The sequence below is a fragment of the Homo sapiens genome, chromosome 18 (genome assembly GCF_000001405.40).
Source record: "Homo sapiens chromosome 18, GRCh38.p14 Primary Assembly".
Lineage (NCBI taxonomy): Eukaryota > Metazoa > Chordata > Mammalia > Primates > Hominidae > Homo > Homo sapiens.
In genome coordinates, this window is record NC_000018.10 from 44,412,734 (window position 1) to 44,440,696 (window position 27,963).

At 37.0% G+C, this 27,963-nt stretch overlaps 1 long non-coding RNA gene across 1 annotated transcript in view, besides 1 other annotated feature; it reads right to left on the bottom strand.

The window, feature by feature from the left end:
- LINC01478 (long intergenic non-protein coding RNA 1478) overlaps nucleotides 1-27,963 on the bottom strand; it is a 208,263-nt gene that overhangs the window by 89,299 nt on the left and 91,001 nt on the right. The gene's annotated exons all lie outside the window — the stretch shown is intronic.
- Nucleotides 11,052-11,641: an enhancer, noted in NCBI's record as "OCT4-NANOG hESC enhancer chr18:42003750-42004339 (GRCh37/hg19 assembly coordinates)". NCBI's record gives its function as "activates a minimal SCP1, AML or CMV promoter by ChIP-STARR-seq in primed H9 embryonic stem cells {active_cell/tissue: H9 hESC(primed)}" and the evidence as "EXISTENCE:reporter gene assay evidence [ECO:0000049][PMID:30033119]".

Here is a 27,963-nt window from a genome sequence, read left to right on the forward strand (position 1 = left end):
CACAGAAATACAAACTAGCATCAGAGAATACTATAAACACCTCTATGCAAATAAACTAGAAAATCTAGAAGAAATTGATAAATTCCTGAACATAGACACACTCCCAAGACTAAACGAGGAAGAAGTCAAATAGACCTAAATAAACAAATAAGTTCTGAAATTGAGGCAATAATCAATAGCTTACCAACCAAAAAAATCCCAGGACCAGACAGACTTACAGCTGAATTCCACCAGAGGTACAAAGAGAAGCTGGTACCATTGCTTCTGAAACTATCCCAAACAACTGAAAAAGAGGGACTCCTCCCTAACTCATTTTATGAGGCCAGCATCATCCTGATACCAAAACCTGGCAGAGACACAACAAAAAATTTCAGACCAATATCCCTGATGAACATCAATTCAAAAATCTTCAATAAAATACTAGCAAAACAAATCAAGCAGCACATCAAAAAGCTTATACATCATGATCAAATCAGCTTCATCCCTGGGATGCAAGGCTGCTTCAACATATGCAAATCAATAAACATAATCCATCACATAAACGGAACCAAAAACAAAAAACACATGATTACCTCAATAGATGCAGACAAAGGCCTTTGACAAAATTCAACACCCCTTCATGCTAAAAACTCTCAATAAACTAGGTATCGATGGAACAAATCTCAAAATAATAAGAGCTATTTATGACAAACCCACAGCCAATATCATACTGAATGAGCAAAAACTGGAAGTATTCCCTTAGAAAACCAGTACAAGACAAGGATGCCCTCTCACCACTCCTATTCAACACTGTGTTGGAAGTTCTGACCAGGGCAATCAGGCAAGATAAAGAAACACAGGGTATTCAAGTAGGAAGAGAGGAAGTCAAATTGTCTGTTTCTAGATGACATGATTTTGTATTTAGAAAACTTCATCGTCTTAGCCCCAAAAGTCCTTCAAGCGATAAGCAACTTCAGCAAAGTGTCAGGATACAAAATAATGTGCAAAAATTACAAGCATTCCTTTACACAAACAATAGACAAGCAGAGAGCCAAATCATGAATGAACTCCCATTCACAGTCACTACAAAGAGAATAAAATACATAGGAATACAGCTAACAAGAGATGTGAAGGATCTCTTCAACTACAAACCACTGCTGAAGGAAATAAGAGAGGACACAAACAAATGGAAAAATATTTCATGCTCATGGATAGGAAGAATGAGTATCATGAAAATGGCCATATTGCCCAAAGTAATTCATAGATTCAATGCTATTTCCATCAAACTACCCTTGACATTCATCACAGAATTAGAAAAAAACTACTTTAAATTTCATATGGAATCAAAGAAAATCCTGTATAGCCAAGACAATTCTAAGCAAAAAGAACAAAGTTGGAGGCATCACACTGCCTGACTTCAAACTATGCTACAAGCCTACAGTAACCAAAACAGCTCGGTACTTTTACCAAAACAGACATAGAGACCAATGAAACAGAACAGAGACCTCAGAAATATCACCACACATCTACAACCATCTGATCTTTGACAAACCTTACAAAAACAAGCAATGGAGAAAAAATTTCCTATTCAGTAAATAGTGCTGGGAAAACTGGCTAGCCATATGCAGAAAGCTGAAACTAGATCCCTTCCTTACACCTTATACAAACATTAACTCAAAATGGATTAAAGACTTAAATGTAAAACCCAAAACCATAAAAACCCTAGGAGAAAACCTAGGCAATAACATTCAAGACATAAGCATGGGCAAAGACTCCATGACAAAAACGCCAAAAGCAATAGCAACAAAACCAAAATTGACAAATGGGATCTAATTAAACTATAGAGATTCTGCACAGCAAAAGAAACTATTTTCAGAGTGAACAGGCAACCTACAGAATGAGAGAACATTTTCATAATCTACTTATCTGACAAACGTCTAATATCCAGAATTTACCAGGAACTTAAGCTAATTTACAAGAAAAACAAACCCATCAAAAGTGGGCAAAATATATGAAAAAACAATTCTCAAAAGAAGATATTTACACAGCCAACAAACATATGAAAAAGAGCCCAACATTACTGTTCATTAGAGAAATGCAAATCAAAACCATCATGAGATACTGTCTCACATCAGTCAGAATGGTGATCATTAAAAAATCAAGAAACAATATATGTTGGCGAGGCTGTGGAGAAATAGGAACACTTTAACACTGTTGGTGAGAATGTAAGTAAGTTCAACCATGTGGAAGACAGTATGATGATTCCTCAAGGATCTACCATTTGACCCAGCAATCCCATTACTGGTATATACCCAAAGGAATATAGATCATTCTACTATAATAATACATGCACACATATGTTTATTTCCATGCTATTTACAATAACAAAGTCAGGGAACCAACCCAAATTCCCATCAGTGATAGACTGGATAAAGACATGGCACATATTCACACTATGGAATACTACTCAGCCATAAAAAGAAATGAGATCCTGTCCTTTGCAGGGACATGGATGAAGCTGGAAGCCATCATCCTCAGCAAACTAACACAGGAACAGAAAATCAAACACCTCATGTTCTCATTCATAAGTGGGAGTTGAACAATGAGAAAATATGGACACAGGGAGGGGAACAACACATAATAGGGCCTGTTGGGAACTGGGGGGCAGTTCTTAGAGAATGGGTCAACAGGTGCAGCAAATCACCATAGCACACATATACCTATGTAACAAACCTGCACAATCTGCACCTGTAACCTGAAACTTAAAGTACAATAAAAATTAAAAAAAAATACCATATCCAAAAAAAAAAGATCTAAGCATTTCAAATTACCCAAATAAATATTTCTAAATTATTAGGATATAAGTGTGATTCTTGTTAATGAGCAATTTACTGTTGTTATAGCCAGCATATTAATTGTAGGTAAAAAACATAGAATAGTATTATGTGCTATATATGCTTCAGTCTCTTAGGTATCTACAATTACAGTATTTAAGGATATTTCTTATTTGGCTTGAAGGATAATTTTATTATATCCAGGATCCTGGGGTATATATCTACAGCTTTATTTTTTCACCTGTTGGCATGCCTATAATTTATTTTGTACAAGTTTCTTACTTCAGAATACAATATGTAATTAAACATGGCTTCTTTGGAAAAATAAATCACATCGATTCCAGGTAGGTAAGAAAAAAAAGAAAAGAAAAGAGGTGTCTGGCAAGATGGTTGAATAGAAAAAGCTCTGGTCTGCAGCTCCAGTGAGATCAACACAGAAGGCAGGTGATTTCTGCATTTCCAACTGAGGTACCCAGCTCATGTCATTGGGACTGGTTAGACAGTGGGTGCAGCCCATGGAGGGCTAGCTGAAGCAGGGTGGGGTGTCACCTCACCTGGGAAGGGCAAGGGTTTGGGGAACTCCTTCCTCTAGCCAAGGGAAGCCGTGAGGGACTGTGCTAGGAGGAAGGGTGCATTCTGGCCCAGATACTATGCTTTTCCCATGGTCTTTGCAACCCACAGACCAGGAGATTCCCTTGGGTGCCTACACCACCAGGGCCACGGGTTTCAAGCATAAAACTGGGCAGCTGTTTAGGAAGACATTGAGCTAGCTGCAGGAGTTTTTTTTCCATATCCCAGTGGCACCTAGAATGCCAGCGAGATGGAACCCTTCACTCCCCTGGAAAGGGAGCTGAAGCCAGGGAGCCAAATGGTCTAGCTCAGCGGATGCCACCCCCGTGGAGCCCAGCAAGCAAAGATCCACTGGCTTGAAATTCTTGCTGCCAGCACAGCAGTCTAAGTTGACCTGGGAGGCTCAAATTTAGTGGGAGGAGAGGCGTCCACCATTACTGGGGCTTGAGTAGGCAGTTTTCCCCCACAGTGTAAACAGAGCCACCAGGAAGTTCAAACTGGACAGAGCCCACTGCAGTATGGCAAAGCTGCTGTAGCCAGACTGCCCCTCTAGATTCCTCCTCTCTGGGCAGGGCAACTCTGAAATAAAGGCAGGAGCCCCAGTCAGGAGCTTATTGATAAAACTCCCATCTCCCTGGGACAAAGCACCTGGAGGAATTGGCAGCTGTGGGTGCAGCTTCAGAAGATTTAACATTCTTGCCTGCTGGCTCTAAAGAGAGCAGCAGATCTCCCAGAACAGCACTCAAGCTCTGCTAAAGGACAGACTGCCTCCTCAAATGGGTCCCTGACCCCCGTGCCTCCTGACTGGGAGACACCTTCCAGCAGGGGTTGGCAGACACCACATACAGGAGAGCTCTGGCTGGCATCTGGCTGGTGCCCCTCTGGGACAAAGCTTCCAGAGGAAGAAACAGGCAGAAATCTTTGCTGTTCTACAGCCTCTGCTGGTAATACCCTGGAAAACAGGATCTGGACTGGACCACCAGCAAACTCCAGTAGAACTGCAGCAGAGGGGCCTGACTGTTAGAAGGAAAACTAACAAATGGAAAGGAATAGCATCAATATCAACAAAAAGGATGTCCACACAAAAACCCCATCCGAAGGTCACCAACATCAAAGACCAATGGTGGATAAATCCATGAAGATGAACAAAAACCATTGCAAAAATGCAGAAAATTCCAAAAACCAGAACGCCTCTTTTCCTCCAAAGGATCACAACTCCTCGCCAGCAAGGGAACAAAACTGGACAGAGAATGAGTTTGTCGAACTGACAGAAGTAGCCTTCAGAAGATGGGTAATAACAAACTCCTCCAAGCTAAAGGAGCATGTTCTAACCCAACGCAAGGAAGCTAAGAACCTTGAAAAAAGTTGGAGGAATTGCTAACTAGAATAACCAGTTTAGAGAAGAACATAAAATAGCTAATGGAGCTTACAAACACTGCACAAGAACTTTGTGAAGCATACACAAGTATATACAGGCAAATCAGTCAAGCGGAAGAAAGGATATCAGAGATTGAACACCAACTTAATGAAATAAAGTGTGAAGACAAAATTAGAGAAAAAAGAATGAAAAGCAACAAAGCAAGCCTCCAAGAAATATGGGACTATGTGAAAAGACCGAATCATCGTTTAATTGGTTTACCTGAAAGACAAGTGCAGAATGGAACCAAGTTGGAAGACACTCTTCAGTATATTACCAGGACAACTTCCCCAACATAGCAAGACAGGCCAACATTCAAATTCAGGAAATACAAGAACACCACAAAGATACTCCTCAAGAAGAGCAACCCCAAGATACATAATTGTCAGATTCACCAAGGATAAATGAAGGAAAAAATGTTAAGGGCAGCCAGAGAGAAAGGTTGGGTTACCCACAAAGGGAAGCCCATCAGACTAAAAGTGGATCTGTCTGCAGAAACCCTACAAGCCAGAAGAGAGTGGGGGCCAATATTCAATATTCTTAAAGAAAAGGATTTTCATCCCAGAATATCATATCCAACAAACTAACTTTCGTAAGCAAAGGAAAATAAAATCCCGTAAAGACAAGCAAATACTGAGACACTTTGTCACTGTTAGGCCTGCCTTACAAGAACTCCAGAAGGAAGCATGAAACATGGAAAGGAAAAACTGGCACCAGCCACTGGAAAAACATACAAAATTGTAAAAACCATTGACACTATGAAGAAACTGCATCAACTAACAGCCAAAATAACCAGCTAGCATCATAATGACAGGATCAAATTCACACATAACAATATTAACCTTAAATGTAAATGGGCTAAATGCCCCAATTAAAATACACAGACTGGCAAATTGGATAAAGAGTCAAGACCCATTGGTGTGCTGTATTCAGGAGACCCATCTCACGTGCAGAGACACACATATGCTCAAAATAAAGGGATGGAGGAATATTTACCAAGCAAATGGAAAGGAAAAAAAAAAGCAGGGGTTTCAATCCTAGTCTCTGATAAAACAGGCTTTAAACTACAAAATATAAAAAAGACAATGAAGGGCATTATATAATGGTAAAGGGATCAATGCAACAAAAAGAGCTAACTATCCTACATTTATATGCACCCAATACAGGAGCACCAGGATTCATAAAGCAAGTTCTTAGAAACCTACAAAGAGACTTAGGCTCCCACACAATAATAGTGGGAGACTTTAACACCCCACTGTCAATAATAGACAGCTCAATGAGACAGAAAATTAACAAGGATATTCAGAACTCGAACTCAGCTCTGGACCAAGTGGACCTAATAGATATCTACAGAACTCTCCACCCCAGTCAACAGAATATACATTTTTCTCAGCACCACATCGCACTTATTCTAAAATTGACCACATAATTGGAAGTAAAACACTCCTCAGCGAACGCAAAAGAACAGAAATCATAACAGTCTCTCAGACCACAGTGCAATGAAATTAGAACTCAGGATTAAGAAACTCATTCAAAACCGCATAGCTACATAGAAACTGAACAATCTGCTCCTGAATGACTACCAGGCAAATAACAAAATTAAGGCAGAAATCAGAAGTTTTTTGAAACCAATGAGAACAAAGACCAACGTACCAGAATCTCTGGGACACAGCTAAAGCAGTGTTTAGAGGGAAATTTATAGCACTAAAATCCCCATAGGAGAAAGCAGGAAAGATCTACAATCAACACCCTAAAATCACAATTAAAAGAACTAGAGAAGCAAGAGCAAACAAATTCAAAAGCTATTAGAAGACAAGAAAGAACTAAGATCAGAGCAGAACTGAAGGAGATGAAAACATGAAAAACCTTTCAAAAAAATCAATGAATCCAGAAGCTGGTTTTTTGAAAAGATCAACAGAACAGATAAATGGCTAGCCAGACTAATATAGAAGAAAAGAGAAGAATCAAATAGACGGAATAAAAAATGATAAAGGGGATATCACCACTGATCCCACAAAAACAAAAACCACCATCAGAGAATACTATAAACACCTTTACACAAATAAACTAGAAAATCTAGAAGAAATGGATAAATTCCTAGACACACACACACTCCCAAGACTAAACCAGGAAGAAGTTGAATCCCTGAATAGACCAATAACAAGTTCTGAAATTGAGGCAGTAATTAATAGGCTACCAACCAAAAAAAGCCCAGGACCAGAGGGATTCACAGCTGAATTCTACCAGAGGTACAAAGAGGAGCTGGTATCATTCCTTCTGAAACAACTCCAAATAATTGAAAAAGAGGGACTCTTCCCTACCTCAATTTATGAGGCCAGCATCATCTTGATACCAAAACCTGGAAGAGACACAACAAAGAAAGAAAATTTCAGGCCAATATCTCTGATGAACATTGATGTGAAAATCCTCAATAAAATACTGGTTAACCAAATCCAGCAGCACATCTAAAATCTTATCCACCACAATCACAGAGGCTTCATCCCTGGCACTCAAGGCTGGTTCAACATACATAAGTCAATAAATGTAATCCATTGCATAAACAGAACCAATGACAAAAACCACATAATTATCTCAATAGATGCAGAAAAGGCCTTTGATAAAATTCAACAGCCTTCATGCTAGAAACTCTCAATAAACTAGGTATTGATGGAATGTATCTCAAAATAATAAGAGCTATTTATGACAAACCCAGAGCCAATATCATACTGAATGGGCAAAAGCTGGAAGCATTCCCTTTGAAAACCAGCACAAGACAAGGATGCCCTCTCTCACCACTCCTATTCAACGTAGTATTGGAAGTTCTGGCAAGGGCAATCAGGCAAGAGAAAGAAATACAGTGTATTCAAATAGGAAGAGAGGAAGTCAAATTGTATCTGATTGCAGATGACATGATTGTATATATAGAAAACCCCATAGTCTCAGCCCAAAATCTCCTTAAGCTGATCAGCAAATTCTGCAAAGTCTCAGGATACAAAATCAATATGCAAAAATCACAAGCATTCCTATACACAAATAATAGGCAAACAGAAAGCCAAATCATGAGTGAACTCCCATTCATAATTGCTACAAAGAGAATAACATACCTAGGAATACAACGTACAAGGGAAGTGAGGGACCTCTTCAAGGAGAACTACACATCACTGCTCAAGGAAATCAGAGAGGACACAAACAAAGGGAAAAACATTCCATACTCATAGATAGAAAGATCAGTATCATGAAAATGGCCATATTGCCCAAAGTAATTTATAGATTCAATGCTATCCCCATCAAGCTACCATTGACTTTCTTCACAGAATTAAAAAAAAAAAAACTACTTTAAATTTCATATGGAACCAAAACACAGCCCACATAGCTAAGACAATCCTAAGCAAAAGGAACAAAGATGGAGGCTTCGCACTACCTGACTTCAAACTATACTACAAGGCTACAGTAGCCAAAACAGCATGGTACTGGTACCAAAACAGATATATAGATCAGTGAAACAGAACAGAAGCCTCAGAAATAATACCACCATCTAAAATCATCTGATCTTTGACAAACCTGACAAAAGCAAGCAATGGGGAAAAGATTCCTTATTTAATAAATGGTGTTGGGAAAACTGGCTAGCCATGTACAGGAAACTGAAACTGGGCCCCTTCCTTACACCTTATACAAAAATTAACTCAAATGGATGAAAGACTTAAATGTAAGACCTAAAACCATGAAAACCTTAGAAGAAAACCTAGACAATACCATTCAGGACGTAGGCATGGAAAATACTTCATGACTAAAACATCAAAAGCAATGGCAACAAAAGCCAAAATGGACAAATGGGATCTAATTAAACTAAAAAGCTTCTGCACAGCAAAAAAAAAAAAAAAAAAAAACTATCATCAGAGTGTACAGGCAACCTACAGAATGGGAGAAAATTTTTGCAATCTATCCATCTGACATAGGGCTAATATCCAGAATCTATAAAGACTTTAAACAAATTAAAAAGAAAAAAAAAACCATCAAAAAGTGGGCAAAGTATATTTACAGACACTTCTCAAAAGAAGACATTTATGCAGCCAACAAACATGAAAAAAAGCTCCTCATCACTGGTCTTTAGAGAAATGAAAATCAACACCACCATGACATACCATCTCATACCAGTTAGGATGGTGATCATTAAAAAGTCAGGAAACAACAGATGCTGGAGAGGATGTGGAGAAACAGGAACACTTTTACACTGTTGGTGGAAGTGTAAATTAGTTCAACCATTGTGGAAGACCGTGTGGCAATTCCTCAATGATCTAGCACCAGAAATACCATTTGACCCAGCAATCCCATTACTGGGTATATAGCCAAAGGATTATAAATCATTCTGCTATAAAGACACATGCACATGTATGTTTATTGCAGCACTGTTCACAATAGCAAAGACTTGGAACCAATCCAAATACCCATCAATGGTAGACTGGATAAAGAAAATCTGGCACATATACACCATGGAATACTACGCAGCCATAAAAAAGGATGAGTTCTTGTCCTCTGCAGGGACACAGATGAAGCTGGAAACCATCATTCTCAGCAAACTAACACGAGAACAGAAAATCAAACACTGCATGTTCTCACTCATAAGTGGGAGTTGAACAATGAGAACACATGGACACAGGGAGGGGAACATAACACACCAGGGCCTGTTGCAGGGTGGGAGGCTAGGGAAGGGATAGCATTAGGAGAAATACCTAATGTAGATGACACGTTGATGGGTGCAGCAAACCCCCATGGCACGTGTATACCTATGTAACAAACCTGCATGTTCTGCACATGTATCCCAGAACTTAAAGTATAATAAAAAAAGAAAAGCAAAGAAAAAAACTGAGGCACAGAACGAATAAGTGACTTTTCAAAGGCCACCCTTAGGACAACTATTAGTAGTTATAGTGCCATTGCTCAAATTCAGAAGAGTGTCTCTCAACTTCTAAAAGGTGGACCTTCCTCTTTGCTAAACTAGTCTTACCTCAAGGCTGATGTATCAATGACTAGGGTTCAATCTGTATTTCTATTCTCATGTGCACTTGTGGCTCAGGAGTCTTTGTCATTTCTGGCTCTGGTATGGACTCTGCTGAAAACACATCCTCCCCTGCCCCTTCCCACCTCCCACATTCCCAGAGCTCTGTTCTAGGATTGTTTCCTTGGGAGTCTCAGGACAGAGACTGAGCAACTGTACACTGGAGACCTGGGTCACATGGCTGGTAGCCAGTAGAGTCAAATTTTGTCAGAAGGATAAGACATCAGAAGCACCCTCTTAACCAACCAATTTCAGTTGCTGTACTCTAAAGCTGTTTAGGAGAAAAAAAGTGGGGGTACACTGGTTGAGAATGTTATCCGACCTTAGGAACAGGAAAATTTCTTTTAAAACTTCTGCTGCATCATGCTATAGTTATCAGTATACAGCAATTACATTACAGCCATCATTTTTAATACGAGTTCACCTGAGGCAAATTGTGAACATCAGAGACCAAACAACAGTTAGGACTAAAACCTGTCTACATAATAATGTAAAGCAACAAAAGTGGCTTTGTAAGCAGAAAGTGTGGCAGTCAGGTAGTCCTCTTTTTAATATGGTGACAGGATCTCTTGCCTTGGGATTAACATAGCTGTATTTAGAAGCTACGCTAGGAGCCTTCAAGGGAAGTAGCAGCCAAGCCTTCTAAGGTATGGCACGAATACACTCCAGAGCTGTGTTCAAGAGCTGTGTTTTATTACCTGGAGGACAAATTCAGAAACAGATCTCAGTTCAGTGTCTAAGCCAATGTGGAACAGAAGAAAAGGAAACAATCACAGAACAGAGCTATGGAACTGTGGGGGGTAGGAAGGTGCAGGGGAGGATAATTTTTTAGCAGAGTCAATACCAGAGCCAAAAATGACAAGACCACAAGCTGCCTGGGAACTAACAACAAAATTTGAGGAAGACATTGGGAGTCCTGCAGAACTGAAAACAGGGAGATCAATCCATTACAAAAGTGTATAAATGTCAGCAAACCACCATGGCACATGTGTACCTATGTAACAAACTGCACGTTCTGCACATGTATCCCAGAACTTAAAGTAATTTTTTTTTAAAAAAAGTACATAAATGTATTTACAAGGAAGGGTGACACAGCTGACATCTGGGTGACCTGGATAAAACAATCCCTACGCCTAGGATTACCTTGAGCATCAACCAATATAATACTACCTAAAGTGCTTTATAAACAGTAAATCTATATAGGTGTTAATGAGTATTGCTGCTTTCATCATTGTCTTTATTGTTATAAATCTGCAAGCATTTCGTTCAGAGCCTTGCATATTGTAAGTTCTGTGTAATTATTGACTGGCTGACGGCAATGGTTTCCAAAAAGAAAAACTGACCTTCCTACTCTCTCCAGTCTCCCCTCTCCAACTCCCAGTCCCTGGAAAAGAAACAAAAATTAACATCATAGGCAATTCACAGGAGATGAAACTTGCTGAAGGGACAGTCAGTAGGAAAAACAAAAGGAGGCCTGCTGAGCTGCTTAAAGGGGCTTACTAGGTCTGTTTACAAGAAGAACATGCATCCTGATTGTAATAAGTGAGCTTGAAGGGCTAGACAGGCTCTTTAATCTCAGAAATGACACTGTGAACTCCAGTTCACCTGCTCGATTTATTTACATTGCTTTTGCCTGCTAACAAATCCAACTCTCCATCAGATTAATCAACATTTATCAGCCAGCGGCGGGAGCATCATTTCATAACGTAAGTAAAATAGAGAGGGAGTGAAATGGAATAGAGAGAGAATAAAACTCCCATTACTCTGTGGCTATTTGATTCTCTATGTATTTTATTCACATAATGAATGATGTACTTCTGGCTTTAACAGCATAGCAACCCTGGGTTCTGTTTGTTTAATGTTTCCCCGCCAGGGACTGTGCAACTCAGTAGAATATGCACAACAGGATAAAGGAGGAAGATGGTTAAGCCCAGGTTTGGGGGTTTAAAATTTCCCAAATAAACCAAAAGTGAGTTAACCACCAAGTTGTCCAGAGTCTGGTGATGTTAATTCAAATATATGATCACCAATCAACTAAATAATTTGTCTATATGGTTTGTATTGGCCATTAACACAAACTATTCATGCATTCATCCATTTAACAATTATTGAGCACTAAGTATGTGCTGGAAATTGTTCTGGGTGCTGAAGATGTAACAATAAGTAGAAAAAAAGTTCCTGCCCCCCGGAGTTTACATTAGAAGCCAAATTATAGACAGAGCACATGAATACATAATAAAATGTCATGTTGTAGTAACTGTTACGATCACAAATGAAGTGAGCTTAAAGGACAGAAACCAGAAGAATGCTACTTCAGAATGGGGTAGCCAAAAACATTGCTCTGAGATGATATTGGAGCAGAAATCTGCAATAAATGAAAGAACCAGGCATTCTGATATATGAGTGAAGTGCATTTCAGACAGAAAGTAAAACCAGAAACAGTTGAGAAATAGCAGTGAGGCCAGAATTGATGGAAAGGTGTGAGCAAAGCTAAAAATAGAATGACCATGATCCATCAATCCCACTACTGGATATATACCCAAAAGAAGGGAAATCAATATATCAAAGAGATATATTTGCACTCATATGCTTATTGCAGCACTATTTACAATAGCTAACATATAGGATCAACCTAAGTTCTATGAACAGATAAATGTTTTCTTAAATGTGGTATATATAGACAATGGAATATACTTAGCCTTAAAAATGAATGGAATTCTGTTAGTTGCAACAGCAAAGATAGAATTGGAGGTCATTGTGTTACATGAAATAAGCCAGGCACAGAATGACAGGTATCACATGTTCTCACTTCTGCGTACAAGCTAAAAAAAAAGTGGATCTCATGAAGATAGAAAGTATATTTGTAATTGTAAGAGGCTGGGAAGAGTATAGAGTAGTGGTGGATAAAGAGGTTGATTAATGGATACAATAATACAGTTAGAAGGAATAAGATGTAGTATTCGATAGGTCAGTAGGGTGACTATAGTAAACAATGATCTATTGTACATTTCAATAGCTAGAAAAGTTTGAATGTTCCCAGCATAAAGATAAATGTTTTAGGTGGCTATCCCAATTATCTTGACTTGATCATTAAATATCGCATAAATGTATCAAAATATGTGTACACCTCTTATGTATCAGTTTTTAAAAATGGGAAAGAGCAATAAGAAATTTAATCACAGATGTAGTACTGGGTTATATTATGTCAACTCCTATCCAACAGTAGAAACTTGAAAATAATAAGAATTAAGTGGAAATTTTTAAAATCACATTATGATTTTGTCCCTAACTATACTACTCAAGGACAGAAAATCAGATTTGTAATTTTTTTATTTTTCAGATTAAGCATTGATTCTGTCCAGATTACCAATATTTTAATAATGTTGCTGCTGATGATATACTAAGTCATGGTGATTGATTAGTTGATCCAATACTGGACCAACTAAGCCAGGAACAAATAACCTTTTAAAAAATTGCTTTGTTTTATTTAACTTTTTTCAGTAGAAGTATAACATGTAAAGAGACAAGTGCAGGATTTATATATGAACAGCTTAATAAATTATCATAAAGTGAAAATACCACCCAGATTAAGAAATTTAACATCTATCAACATGCAGAGCTTCTTGGCCTCTACCAGTCACAACTCCTCTCATCTCTCCAGAATTAAACACTGTCTTGACTTATATCTGCATACATCAGTTTTGCTCATTTTAAAAATTTTATGTAGATAAGAGATTCATTCTTTATTGCATGTATCTATTCACTTTCAATGCTGTTTAGGAGTCAATTGTAAATTATATCAGTTATATTTATCTATTATATTCCCAACAGATATTAGAGATATTTCCAATTTGTGGTTATGAAGCATTGTACTACTATGAATATTCTTTTACTTGCCTATTCTTACACATACGACAGTTTTCTGTTGGGTATGTACCTGAGCAAATATCAAACAGAAAAGTTTACACTTCCACAATTACAGTTCCAACAACCATCTTGAAAGGTGTGTAGTAGCATCTCATTATAGTTTTAGTTTGCATTTTCTCTTGACTAATGAGAAGCACTGTATTTCTACTGATTGTTTAGATATCCTCTCTTGTGAAGTGTCTGATTCTCTTGTCCATTATTTTTATTGTCTGTCTTTTCCTCATTGGTAGGAAGAAATTATCTACTTTGTATACATTTGTGGCAAAATAACTTTTCCTGCTCTTAGGACTTTTTCACTTTCTTCAACTTGTCTTTCAATGATCAAAAATTCCCAATCTTAATGTATTTTGCTTTGGTAATATTTTCATTTACCATTAGCATTTATTGTGACCTGCTTGATAAACCTTTCCCTATCCCAAGTTAATAAGAATATTCTCATACATTATAAAATATTTTTCTTTGTCTCACATTTCACATTTAGATTTACAATAGTCTAAGACAGATATTTGTTAGCACATCTCACATCTCACATTTAGATTTACAATAGTCTAAGACAGATATTTGTTAGCACGAAGTAGGTTTCAAGTCTCTGGGATTTCCTTCTCTATTTGTTGGGATACCTAGTTGAACCAACACTATTGGAGGGAATGTCTTTCCTACTCTTTGCAGTGCTACTTTCCTTGTATGAGTTGTATGTTGTAAGTCAATTTATAATTAGGCTGTTTCTTAGCTTTTTATTATGTCCACTTATATTAATAACTTATTCTACCAACAGCAGTCTTATTAAAAATTTATAGTGTTTCAATGTGATAGAGGATTTTTTTTTCATTTTCAACATTGTGTTAACTCTCCTTGACCCTATGTCCATATAAATTTTTTTGTAATATAGTTTTTTGGAGAAGTTTTAGATTCACAGCAAAATTGAACAGAAGGTGCAGAGATTTTTTTGTATACTCCCTTCCCCACATATACACAGCGTCTTCTACCATCAAAATCCTACACGATAGTTGTATGTTTGTTAGAATCAGTGAACCTACATCAACACATCATTATCGACCAAAGTCCATAGTTTATGGTTCACTCTTGGTATTGTATATTCTATGAGTTTTGACAAATATATAATCATATGTATCCCCGATTATGGAAAAAATACAGAGTAGTTTCACCAAGCTAAACTCCTCTCTGCTCTGCCTATTCATCTTTCTCTCTTCCTCTAAACCCTGGCAACTACTGATCCTTTTAAAACTGTGTCCGTAATACTGCCTTTTCCAGAATGTCATATAATCAAAATTTTATAGTATGTAGCCTTTTCATAATAGTTTATTTCACTTAATAATATGCGTTTGAGTCCTTCATGATTTTTCATGGCTTGATAGCTCATTGCTTTTTAGTGCTGAGTAATATTTCATTGTCTGGATGTACCACAGTTTATCTATTAACCTACTGAAGTAGATCGTGGTTGCTTTCAAGTTTTGGCAATTATGAATAAAGGTGCTATGAACACTTTTTGGACACATAAGTTACTAACTTCTTTGGGCAAATATCAAAAAGCACAAATGCTAGAACATGTGGTTAAGAGTATGTTTTAGTTTTATAAGAAACTGTCAAACTGTCTGCCAAAGTGACTGTACCATTTTGCATTCCTACCAGAAATGAATGAGAGTTCCTGCTGTTCCCTATCTTTGTCAGTTTTTGGTGTTGTCAATGCTTTGGATTTTGGCCATTCTAATAGGTATGCAATGGTGTCTCGTTGTTTTAATTTTCAATCCTTTAATGACATACTATGTTGAGCATTGTTTCATATGCTTATTTGCCATTTATGTGTCTTCTTCGGTGAAGCGTCAGGGTTCAGGTCTTTTGCCCATTTTTTAATGAGGTTTTTTAAATTGTTTGGTTATAAGTTATATTTTATACACTTATCAAATCTCTTTTGAAAATATTTCATCTTTGTCTCCGTCATCTTTTTATTCTCTTGACACTGTCTTTCACAGAGCAGAGTTTTTAATTTTAATGAAATTCAGCCTATAAAATATTTTTTCATGAATTGTGCTTTTGGTATATATACAAAGTAATCATTATACCCAAAGTCGTCTTGTTTTTTTTTTTTACATTGTCTTCTAAGAGTTTTATAGCTTTGTTTTTCACACTTAGATCTATGATCCATTTAAACCAATTTCTGTGAAGGGCATAAGTTCTATGTCTAGCTTTCTTTTTTTTTATGTGGATGTCCAGTTGTTTGAATACCATTTGTTGAAAAGATTATTGGCTGGGAATGGTGGTTCATGCCTGTAATCTCAGCACTTTGGGAGGCCGAGGTGAATGGATCGCTTGATTGCAGGAGTTCAAGACCAGCCTGGGCAACGTGGTGAAACCTAGTCTCCACAAAAATCAGTCAGGTGTGGTGAGCTTGCACCTGTAGTCCCAGATTATTTGGGGTACTGAGCTGGAGGATGGCTTGAGCCCAGGAGATAGACATTACAGTGAGATGAGATAGCACCACTGTACTCCAACCAGGGTGAAAAAGTGAGACCTTGTCTCAAAAACAAAAACAAAACAAAACAAAACAAAAGGCTGGCCGCAGTGGCTCACTCCTGTAATCCCGGTACTTTGGGAGGCCGAGGCAGCCAGATCACCTGAGGTCAGACGTTCAAGACCAGCCTGGCCAACATGGCGCAACCCTGTCTCTACTAAAAAATACAAAAATTAGCCAGGAATGATGGCGGCCACCTGTAATCCCAGTTACTCAGGAGGCTGAGGCAGGGAAAATTGCTTGAACCCGGGAGGCGGAAGTTGCAGTGAGTTGAGATCACGCCACTACACTCCAGCCTAGGCTACACAGCAAGACTCCATCTCCGGGTGTAAAAAAAAGTTATCAGTGCTACGTTGTATTGCTTTCACTTATTTGTCAAAGATCAGTTGACTATATGTATGTAGGTCTATTTCTGGTCTTTCTATTCTCTTCTATTAACCTGTTTGGCTATAAGTTTGCTAATAATCACACTGTCTTTGTTACTGTAGCTTCATAGTAAGCTTTGAGGCTAGGTAGTATAAGTTCTGTGGCTTTGTTCTTCTTCTTTAAAATTATTTTGGCTACTCAGGGTGTTCTGCCTCTCCATAAAAACTTTAGAATCAGTTTATCAATATCCACGAAATAACTTCCGGAATTTTGAATGAAATTGTCTTTAACCTATAAATCAAGCTAAAAGAACTGACATCTTAACATTATTGTCTTCCTCTCCATGAACACCGACTATCTGACCATTTATTTACTGCTTCTTTAATTTTGTTCATCAGTTTTGTAGTTTTCCTTATAGAGATATTTTACATATTTCCTTAGATTATACTTAAGTAATTCATTTGGGAGCAGTGCTGTATAGATAATATTGATTTTTAATTTCAAGATTCATTTGTTCATTTCTGTATACAAAAAAATGTGATTGACTTTTATATATTAACTTTGTGTCCTGAAACCTTTTTATAATCATTATCACCTTCAGGAGGTATTTTGTTGGTTCTTTCAGATTTTCTGCAAAGACAGTTATGACATTTGTGCACAAAGTTTTCTTTCTTTCCAGGTTTTATATATTTATTTCATTTTTTGTCATAGTGCTGTAGCTAGGACTTCCAGTACAATTTTCAAAGGAGTGCTGAGAGGGTACCTCTGTGCCTTCTTCCTAATTTTGATGAGAAGCTTTTCAGTTTCTAACCAGTAAGTGTGATGTTAACTGTAGGTTTTTCGCAGATGTTATTAAATTGAGAAAGTTCCCCTTTACTCCTAGTTTCCTGAGTTTTTATCATGAATAGGTGTTGGATTCTGTCAAATGCTTTTTCTGAATCTATTTGTATGATCATGTGATTTTTTTCATATGCCTATTATTATGACAGATTATATAAATCAATGTTCAAATGTTGAACCAGCCCCACATACTGGACATGAATCCCACTTGGTTATGGTGTATATTGTATACATTGTTTAATTTGATTAGCTAATATTTTATTGAGGATTTTTATATCTATCTATCAATATGAGAGTTATTAGTTTTTGTTTTCTGTTCTTGTAAAATCTTTGTGTGTCTTTGATGTTAGCATAATGCTGGCCACATAAAATAAGTTAAGAGGTATCTCCTGTGCTTTTATCTTCTGTACAAGATACTAAGATAATTAACATTATTTCTCCCTTAAATGTTTTGTAGACTTCACTAGTGGATCCAACTGGGTCTGGTGATATCTGTTTTGGAAGGTTATTCATATAGGCTAATTTAGATTGTCTATTTCTGCATGTGTAAGTTTTGGCAGATTGTGTCTTTCAAATAATTGATCCATTTTATCTCAGTTATCAAATTTGTAGGTATAGAGTTGTTCATAACATCCCCTTTTTATTATACTTTAAGTTCTAGGGTACGTGTGCAGAACGTGCAGGTTTGTTACATAGATATACATGTGCCATGTTGGTTTGCTGCACCCATTAACTCGTCATTTACATTAGGTATTTTTCCTGACACTATCCCTCCCCCAGCCTCCCACCCGCAACAGGCCCCAGTGTATGATGTTCCCTTCCCAGGGTCCATGTGTTCTCATTGTTCGACTCCCACTTATAAGTGAGAATATGTAGTGATTGGTTTTCTGTCCTTCTGACATTTTGCTGACAATGATGGTTTCCAGCTTCATCCATGTCACTGCAAAGTACAGGAACTCATCCTTTTTTATGGCTGCACAGTATTCCATGGTGTATATGTGCCACATTTTCTTTATCCAGTCTATTATTAATGGACATTTGGGTTGGTTCCAAGTCTTTGCTATTGTGAATAGTGCCACAATAAACATACATGTGCATGTATCTTTATAGTAGCATGATTTATAATCCTTTGGGTATATACCCAGTAATGGGATCGCTGGGTCCAATGGTATTTCTGGTTCTAGATCCTTGAGGAATCACCACACTGTCTTCCACAATGGTTTTTTTACACTCCCACCAACAGTGTAAAAGCATTCCTATTTCTCCACATCCTCTCCAGCATCTGTTGTTTCTTGACTTTTAAATGATTGCCATTCTAGCTGGCATGGGATGGTATCTCACTTCAGTTTTGATTTGCATTTCTCTAATGACCAGTGATGAAGAACATTTTTTCATATGTCTGTTGGCAGTATAAATGTCTTCTTTTGAGAAGTGTCTGTTCATATCCTTTGCCCATATCCTTTGATGGGGTTTTTTCTTGTAAATTTGTTTAAGTTCTTTGTAGATTCTGGATATTAGCCCTTTGTCTGATGGATAGATAGGGAGGTGGCCTGTTCACTCTGACGGTAGTTTCTTTTGCTGTGTAGAAGCTCTTTAGTTTAATTAGATCCCATTCGTCTACTTTGGCTTTTGTTGCCATTGCTTTTGGTATTTTAGTCATTAAGTCTTTCACATGCCTATATCCTGAATGGTATTGCCTAGGTTTTCTTCTAGGCTTTTTAAGGATTTAGGTCTTACATTTAAGTATTTATTCCATCTTACTTTTTTGTGTAAGGTGTAAGGAAGGGGCCCAGTTTCAGCTTTCTACATATGGCTAGCCAGTTTTCCCAGCACCATTTATTAAATATAGAATCCTTTCCCCATTGCTTGTTTTTGTCAGGTTTGTCAAAGGTCAGATGGTTGTAGAAGTATGATGTTATTTCTGAGGCCTCTGTTCTGTTTCATTGTTCTATATATCTGTTTTGGTAACAGTACCATGCTATTTTGGTTACCATAGCCTTATAGTGTAGTTTGAAGTCAGGTAGCATGATGCCTCCAGCTTTGTTCTTTTTGCTTAGGATTGTCTTGGCTATATGGGTTCTTTTTTGGTTCCATATGAAATTTTAAGCAGCTTTTTTTTAATTCTATGAAGAAAGTCAATGGTAGCTTGATAGGGATAGCATTGAATCTATAAATTACTTTGGGCAGTATGGCCATTTTTATGATAATGATCTTTATATCCATGAGCATGGAATGTTCTTCCATTTGTTTATGTCCTCTTTTATTTCGTTGAGCAGTGGTTTGTAGTTCTCCTTGAAGAGGTTCTTCACATCCCATGTAACTTGGATTCCTAGGTATTTTATTCTCTTTGTAGTAATTGTGAATGGGAGTTCACTCATGATTTAGCTATTTATTCTTGGTGTACAGGAATGCCTGTGATTTTTGCATATTGATTTTATATCCTGAGACTTTGATGAAGTTGCTTATCAGCTTAAGGCAATTTTGGGCTCAGAAGATGGGGTTTTCTAAATACACACTCATGTCATCTGCAAACAGAGACAGTTTGACTTCCTCTTTTCATAATTGAATATCCTTGATTTCTTTCTCTTGCCGGATTGCCCTGGTTAGAACTTCCAATATTATGTTGAATAGGAGTGGTGAGAGGGCATCCTTGTTTTGTGTGGGTTTTCAAAGGAATGCTTCCAGTTTTTGCCCATTCAGTATGATATTGGCTGTGGGTTTGTCATAAATGGCTCTTATTATTTTGAGATACGTTCCAGCAATACCTAGTTTATTGAGAGTTTTTAGCATGAAAGGATGTTGAATTTTGTTGAAGGCCTTTTCTGCATCTATTGAGATAATCATATGGTTTTTGTCATTGGTTCTGTTTATGTGATTGATGATGTTTATTCATTTGTGTATATTGAACCAGCCTTGCATCCCAGGGATGAAGTCCACTTGATCATGGTGGATAAGCTTTTTGATGTGCTGCTGGATTCGGTTTGCCAGTATTTTATTGAAGATTTTTGCATCGATGTTCATCAGGGATATTGGCCTCAAATTCTCTTTTTATGTTGTGTCTTTGCCCAGCTTTGGTATCAGGATGATGTTGGCCTCATAAAATGAGTTAGGGAGGATTCCCCCTTTTTCTATAGATTGGAATAGTTGCAGAAGGAATGGTACCAGCTCCTGTCTGTACCTGTGGTAGAATTCGGCTGTGAATCCATCTGGTCCTGGACTTTTTCTGGTTGGTAGGCTATGAATTATTGCCTCAATTTCAGAAGCTGTTATTGGTCTATTCAGAGATTCAACTTCTTCCTGGTTTAGTCTTGGGAGAGTATATGTGTCCAGAAATTTATCCATTTATTCTAGATTTTCTAGTTTATTTGTACAGAGGTGTTTATAGTATTCTCTGATGGTAGTTTGTATTTCTTGGGATCGGTGGTGATATGCCTTTCATCATTTTTTATTGCATCTATTTGATTCTTCTCTCTTTTCTTATTAGTCTTTCTAGCAGTCTATCTATTTTGTTGATCTTTTCAAAAAACCAGCTCCTGGATTCATTGATTTTTTGAAGGTTTTCTTGTGTCTCTATCTCCTTCAGTTCTGATCTGATCTTAGTTATTTCTTGTCTTCTGCTAGCTTTTGAATTTGTTTGCTATTGCTTCTCTAGTTCTTTTAATTGTGATTTTCGGGTGTCGATTTTAGGTCATTCCTGCTTCCTCCTTTGGACATTTAGTGCTATAAATTTCCTTCTACACATTGCCTTAAATATGTCCCAGAGATTCTGGTATGTTGTGTCTTTGTTCTCACTGGTTTCAAAGAACATGTTTATTTCTGTCTTCCTTTCCTTATTTATCCAGTAGTCATTCAGGAGCAGGTTGTTCAGTTTCTATGTAGTTATGCAGTTTTCCGTGAGTTTCTTAATCCTGAGTTCTAATTTGATTTCACTGTGGTCTGAGAGACAGTTTGTTGTGATTTCTATTCTTTCACATTTGCTGAGGAGTGTTTTACTTCCAATTATGTGGTCAGTTTTAGAATAAGTATTATGTGGTGCTGAGAAGAGTGTATATTCTGTTAATTTGGGGTGGAGAGTTCTGTAGATGTCTATCACATCCACTTGGTCCAGAGTTGAGTTCAAGTCCTGAATATCCTTGTTAATTTTCTGTCTTGTTGATCTGTCTAATATTGACAGTGGTGTGTTAAAGTCTCCCAGTATTATTGTGTGGGAATCTAAGTCTCTTTGTAGGTCTCTAAGAACTTGCTTTATGAATCTGGGTCCTCCTGTATTGGGTGCATATATATTTAGGATAGTTAGTTCTTCTTGTTGCACTGATCCCTTTACCATTATGTAATGCCCTTCATTTTTTTTTTTTTTTTATCTTTTGTGGTTTAAAGCCTGTTTTATCAGAGACTAGGATTGCAACCCCTGCTCTTTTTTGCTTTCCATTTGCTTGGAAACTACTCCTCCATCTCTTTATTTTGAGCCTATGCATGTCTTTTGCATGTGAGATGGGTCTCCTGAATACAGCACACAGAAGGGTCTTCTTTACCCAATTTGCCAGTCTGTGTCTTTTAATTGGGGCATTTCCCTATTTTTACTTACTAGTATTAAAGTTTCAGGTCTTACGTTTAAGTCTTCAATCTATCTTGCATTGATTTTTGTATGTGCTGAGAGATAGGAGTCTATTTTCATTTTTCTGGATCTGGATATCCATTTTTCGCAGCACTATTTATTGAAGAGACTGTTCTTTCCCCGATGTGTGTTCTTGGTGCATTTTTTGAAAGTCAGTTGGTTGTTAGTATGTGGGTTTATTTCTGTGTTCTCTATTCAGTTCCATTGATCTATATGTTATTTTTATGCCAGTACTGTCTTGTTTTGGTTACTATATCTTGGTAGTATATTTTGACGTCAAATAGTGTGATGCATCCAGCTTTGTTCTTTTTGCTCAAGATTACTTTGGTTATTCAGGGTCTTTTGCTGTTCCATATTAATTTTAGGATTTTCTTTCTATTTCAGTGAAGAATGTCATTAGTATTTTTATTGTGATTGCATTAGATTACTTTGGGTAGTAGGGACGTTTTATTAATAACAAAATAAATTCTTTCAATTCATAAGCATGTAATATCTTTCCATTTACTTTTGTATTCCTCAGTTAACTTCATCAGTGTTTTATAGTTTTCATTGTAAAGATATTCTATTCATTGTCAAGATATTTCACCTTCTTGATTCAGTTTATTCCTAGGTATTTTACTTTTTGTAGCTTTGTAAATGGCATTGCATTTTTTTATTTCTTTTTTAGACACTATTGGCTTATAGAAATGCTACTGATTTTTGTATGTTGATTTTGTATTTTGCCATTTTATTGAACTAAACTCTTTTCAGTAGAGTCTTTGGGGTTTTCTATATGTATAATCATGTAATCTGCAAACAGGAATAATTTGATTTCCTCCTTTTCAATACGGATGCCCTCAATTTCTTTCACTTGTGCAATTGCTCTGGCAAGGACTTCCAGTATTCTGTTGAATAGAAGTAGTGAAAGTGGGTATCCTTCACTTTTTCCAGATCTTAGAGGAAAGAATTTTAGTTTTTTGCCCATTAAATATGATGTTAGCTGTGGGTTTGTCATATATGACCTTTACTGTGTTGAGATACATTCCTTCAATATATAATTTGTTGAGTTTTTAATCATAAACGGGTGATGAATTTTATCAAATCCTTTTGGATATCTATTAAAATGATCATGGTTTTTTCCAATTCTGTAATATGATGTATTATTGATTCACAGATGTTGAACAATTCTTGTGTCTCTGCAATGAATCCTAACTGGCCATGGTGAATGATCTTCATAACATGCTGTTGATTTCAGGGTTCTAATATATTTTGATGATTTTTGCATTCAGGTTCATCAGGGATATTGGCCTATAGTTTTCCCTTTCTGTTGTGTCTTTAGCTGGTTTAGTATCATGGTAATGCTGACCTCATAGAAAGAGTTAAGAATTCCCTCCTCTTCAATTTTTTGAATAGTTTGAACAGGATTGATATTGGTTCTTCTTTAAGTGTTTGGTAGAATTCAGCAATGAAAACTTCATGTCTTAGGCTTTTCTTTGACGGGGGGCTTTTTGTTACTCATTCAATTTTGTTACCTGTTATTGGTCTATTCAGATTGTCTATTTCCTCGTGATTCAGGATACAGAATTCTAGGTTGGTGATTTCTTTTTTTCTCAACATTTTAAATATTTCCCTCCAATCTCTTCTTGCTTGCATGGCTTCTAAAAAGTCAAATGTAATTCTAATCTTTGTTCCTCGGTTTGTAAGGTGTTTACTTTCTTTGACTTCTTTCGATATTTATTCTTTATCATTGATGCTCTATAGTTTGAATGTGATATGCATAGGTATAGTGATTTTTCTGGCATTTATTTTTCTTTGTGTTCCCTGAGTTCCCTGGATCTGTGGTTTGGTATCTTCCATAGTTTGACTGTTAGAATACCATCAACTGGGTGGCTTAAACAACAAATATTTATTTCTCATAGTTCTGGAGGCTAGAAATCTGAGATCAGGGTAACAATATGTCACTTTCTTAGTGAAGGCCCTTTTCTGGGTTTAAAGATTGTCATGTTTTACTGTATCTTCACATGGCAAAAAGAAAAGATAAATAAGGCAAGTTTTCTTGTATCTCTTCTTATAAGAATACCAGTCTCATTCATGAGAGCTTTACACTTAAGATCTAATTGTGTCCCAAAAGCTTTACCACCAAATACCATGCTATTAGGGTTAGGCTTCAATGTGTGAGTTGGCAGAGAGGGCACATTCAATCTATAGCAGAGCCTGACATTCATTTGAAAAAACTGTCCATGATTATTGCTTCAAATATTTCTTCTGTTCCCTTGTCTCTTTGTTCCTCTTCTGTATTCCCATTATGTATATGTTATACCTTGTGTAGTTGACCCACATTCCTTGGATATTCTGTTTGGTTTTCTTTTTCAGTGTTTTTTTCTCTTTGCTTTTCTAAGAAGATTTTGTTGACATATTCTCAAGCTCAAAGTTTTTTTTTTTCCCCTGGCTGTGCCCAGTCTACTGACAAGCCTATCAAATATATTACTCATTTCTTTTATAGTGCTTTTGATCTCTAGCAATTCTTTTTTATTATTTCTAGAATTTGCATCCTGTGATTGCACAGCCCATCTGTTCTTGCATGCTGTCTACTTTATCCATAATGGCCCTTGGCATATTGTTTTAAATTCTCAGTCTGAAAACTCCAACATCTCTGCCATATTTGATTCTGGTTCTGATGTTTTCTTTGTCTCTTCAAACTATGTTTCTTTGCCTGTTAGTATGACTTGCAATTTTTTATTGATAGTTGACATGATATATTGGGTAAAAGAAATAGTGGGGTTTTGGCATTTTTCTTGCTTGGGGTTCTCTGAGTTCTCTAATGTAAATAGGACTTTAATAATGTGGTGAGGTGTAGAGGGAGAGGAAATGTTTCATAGTGCCATGATTAGGTCTCAGTCTTTTCGTGAGCCTGTGCCTCAGGACTGTAAACTCCACAAGTGCTTCTCAGTTTTTTATCGCCTCCCTCAGGTGGGAGTGAATAAAGTTGAGGGTTTTCTTTCCTCAGGTAAGTTAGAGTCTGAAAAGCAATACTTGAAGCTCTAATAAAATAGTTTCTCCTGAGGGCAGGCCTTCTTAAGATGAACAGAATGCACTAGTATATTTTAAAATTGTTCTTTTCCCCTCCCCTTGCCAGAAGCACTAGGGTATTTTTCTCCAATCTTCACTATGAGGATCTGGAAAAGCTCCTGAAAGTAAAATTCACAAAAGTGTGGGGCCCTCCCCACCCCATGACTGTGTCCTCCTGGAGTTTTTTTTCTCTCAGCCTTGTCCACACTGAGCCTCCAGCAATTCATCAATTACAACTCAAGTTTTCTTCTCCTGGCTCTGGTTACTATGGAGATTTCTTCTTGTGGGCTTCTGCTCTGGTAAGTTGTGATTCTCTCTATCTAGTCTGTCTGTCTCTACAATTTTGTGGAGCAGCAGTTTGCCCTGTGACCTCACATCTCTTATGAATCTAAAAAGAATTAGTGATTTTTCAGTTTGTTCAACTTTTTATGCCTTGTTAGGATGGAGTGTCAACTTTCAAGCTCCTTACCTGCCAAACTGAAAACCAGAAGTGTGTGCAGATAAATTGTAGAATCACAACGACAAAATGCTGAAATGTTTACTGGGATTACATAGAATCTACAAAAAACTTATTCAGACAGTTTCATAATTGTTATTCTTCCAATTCATGAATATTTTACTCACTTAAATTTTCTCTCAAAAACATTTCTTAGATTTCTGTATAGAATTCTTGAGCTACTTTAATTAGATTTATTTCTAGTTAGTTGAATTTGTGTGTATGCACTACTATAAAGAGTACTGGTTTTAACTTTGTTTCTACATGTTTATTTCTGGTATATAGAAATACAATTGATTTCTCTTTATTAATCTTATATAAAATAAACTTAATTAAGTTCAAATGTAATTCCTTATCTATAGCTTCTTTGAGATTATATGTATATACACAATATGGCATCTGTGAATAACAATTTTAGAACTGCAGGACACATTGAATAGGAGTGATGATATAGGATTCCTTTGTCTCATCTTAAATTTCAGAGAATGTTTGCTGTTGTTGTCATTGTTCTTGTTTTGTTTTAATTTCTACTTTTATTTTAGACGTGGGGGATACATGTTCAGGTTTGTTACTTGGTTATATTGCACCTAGGCAGTAAGCATAGTACCCAATAGGTAGTTTATCAACACCCACCTCCCTCCCTCCCTTCCCCCTTTATAGTCCATAGTGTCTGTTGTACCCTTGTTTATATCCATGTGTACTCAATTTTTAGCTACCACTTATAAATGAGAACATGTGATATTTGGTTTTCTGTTCCTGAATGAGTTCGCTTAGAGTTATAGCCTCCAGCTCCATCCACATTGCTGCAAAGGAAGTCTCGCTCTATCACCCAGGTTTTAGTACAGTGGCGCAAACCCGGCTCACTGCAACCTCCGCCTCCTGGGTTCAAGCGATTCTCCAGCCTCAGCCACCCAAGTAGCTGGGATTGCAGGCATGCACCACCATGCCTGTTAATTTTTGTATTTTTAGTAGAGACGGAGGTTTCATCATATTGGTCATGGTAGTCATGAACTCCTGACTTCAAATGATCCCCCACCTTGGCCTCTCTAAGTGCTGGGATTACAGGCGTGAGCCACCACGTCTGGCCTCAATTTCATTCTTTTTTATGGCTGTGTAGTATTTGGTGGTGTATATGTACCACATGTTCTTTATCCAGTTGACCACTGTTTGGCACCTAGGTTGATTCCATGTCTTTGCTATTGTGAATAGCATGGCCATGAACATATGAGTGCATGTGTCTTTCTGGTATAATCGTCTATTTTTCTTTGGGTATATACCCAGTAATGGGATTGGTGGGTCAAATGGTAGCTCTTTTTTAAGTTCTTTGAGAAATAGTGCTTTCTATACAGTGCCTGAACTAATTTACATTCCCAACAACAATGTATAAGTGTTGCCTTTTCTCTTCCACCTCACCAGCATCTGTTATATTTGACTTTTTAGAAACAGCCATTCTGATAATGAGAGAATATCTCATTGTGGTTTTTATTTGCATTTCTCTCATGATTTCTGATGATGAGCATTTTTTCATACGTTTGTTGGCTGCTTGTATGTCTTGTCTTCTTGTTCCCTGTTTGTGTCCTTTGTCCATTATTTAAATGGGATTATTTGTGACAAACACACAGCCAACATCATACTAAACAGGCAAAGGCTGGAACCATTCCCTTTGAGAACTAGAACAAGATTAAAATGCCCACTCTCACCACTTCTATTTGACATAGTCCTAGAAGTCCTAGCCAGAACAATCAGGCAAGAGAAAGAAATAAAAGGGCATCCAAAAAGGAAAAGAAGAAACTAAACTCTCTTCACTGATATGATTCTATACCTAGAAAATGCTAAAGACTGCCAAAAGGCTACTAGAACTGATGGATGATTTTAGTAAAGTTTCATGATAAAAAATCAATGCACAAAAATCAGTAGCATTTCTAGACCCCAATAATGTCCAGGCTGAGAGTCAAATCAAGAACACAATCCTATTCACAACAGCTAGAAAGAAAATAAATACCTAGGAAAAAGCTAACCAAGAAGGTGAAAGATCCCAACAATGAGAATTATAAAACAGAAATCAGAGACACCACAAATAAATCAAAAAACATTCCATGCTCATGGACTGGAAGAATCAATATCATTAAAATGACCATACTGCCTAAAGAAAATTATAGATTAAATGCTATTCCTATCAAACTACCAATGTTGTTCTTCACAGAATGACACAAAAGTATTCTAAAATTCATATGAAAACAAAAGAAACTCAGAACAGCAAAAGCAATCATTACCAGAAAGAACAA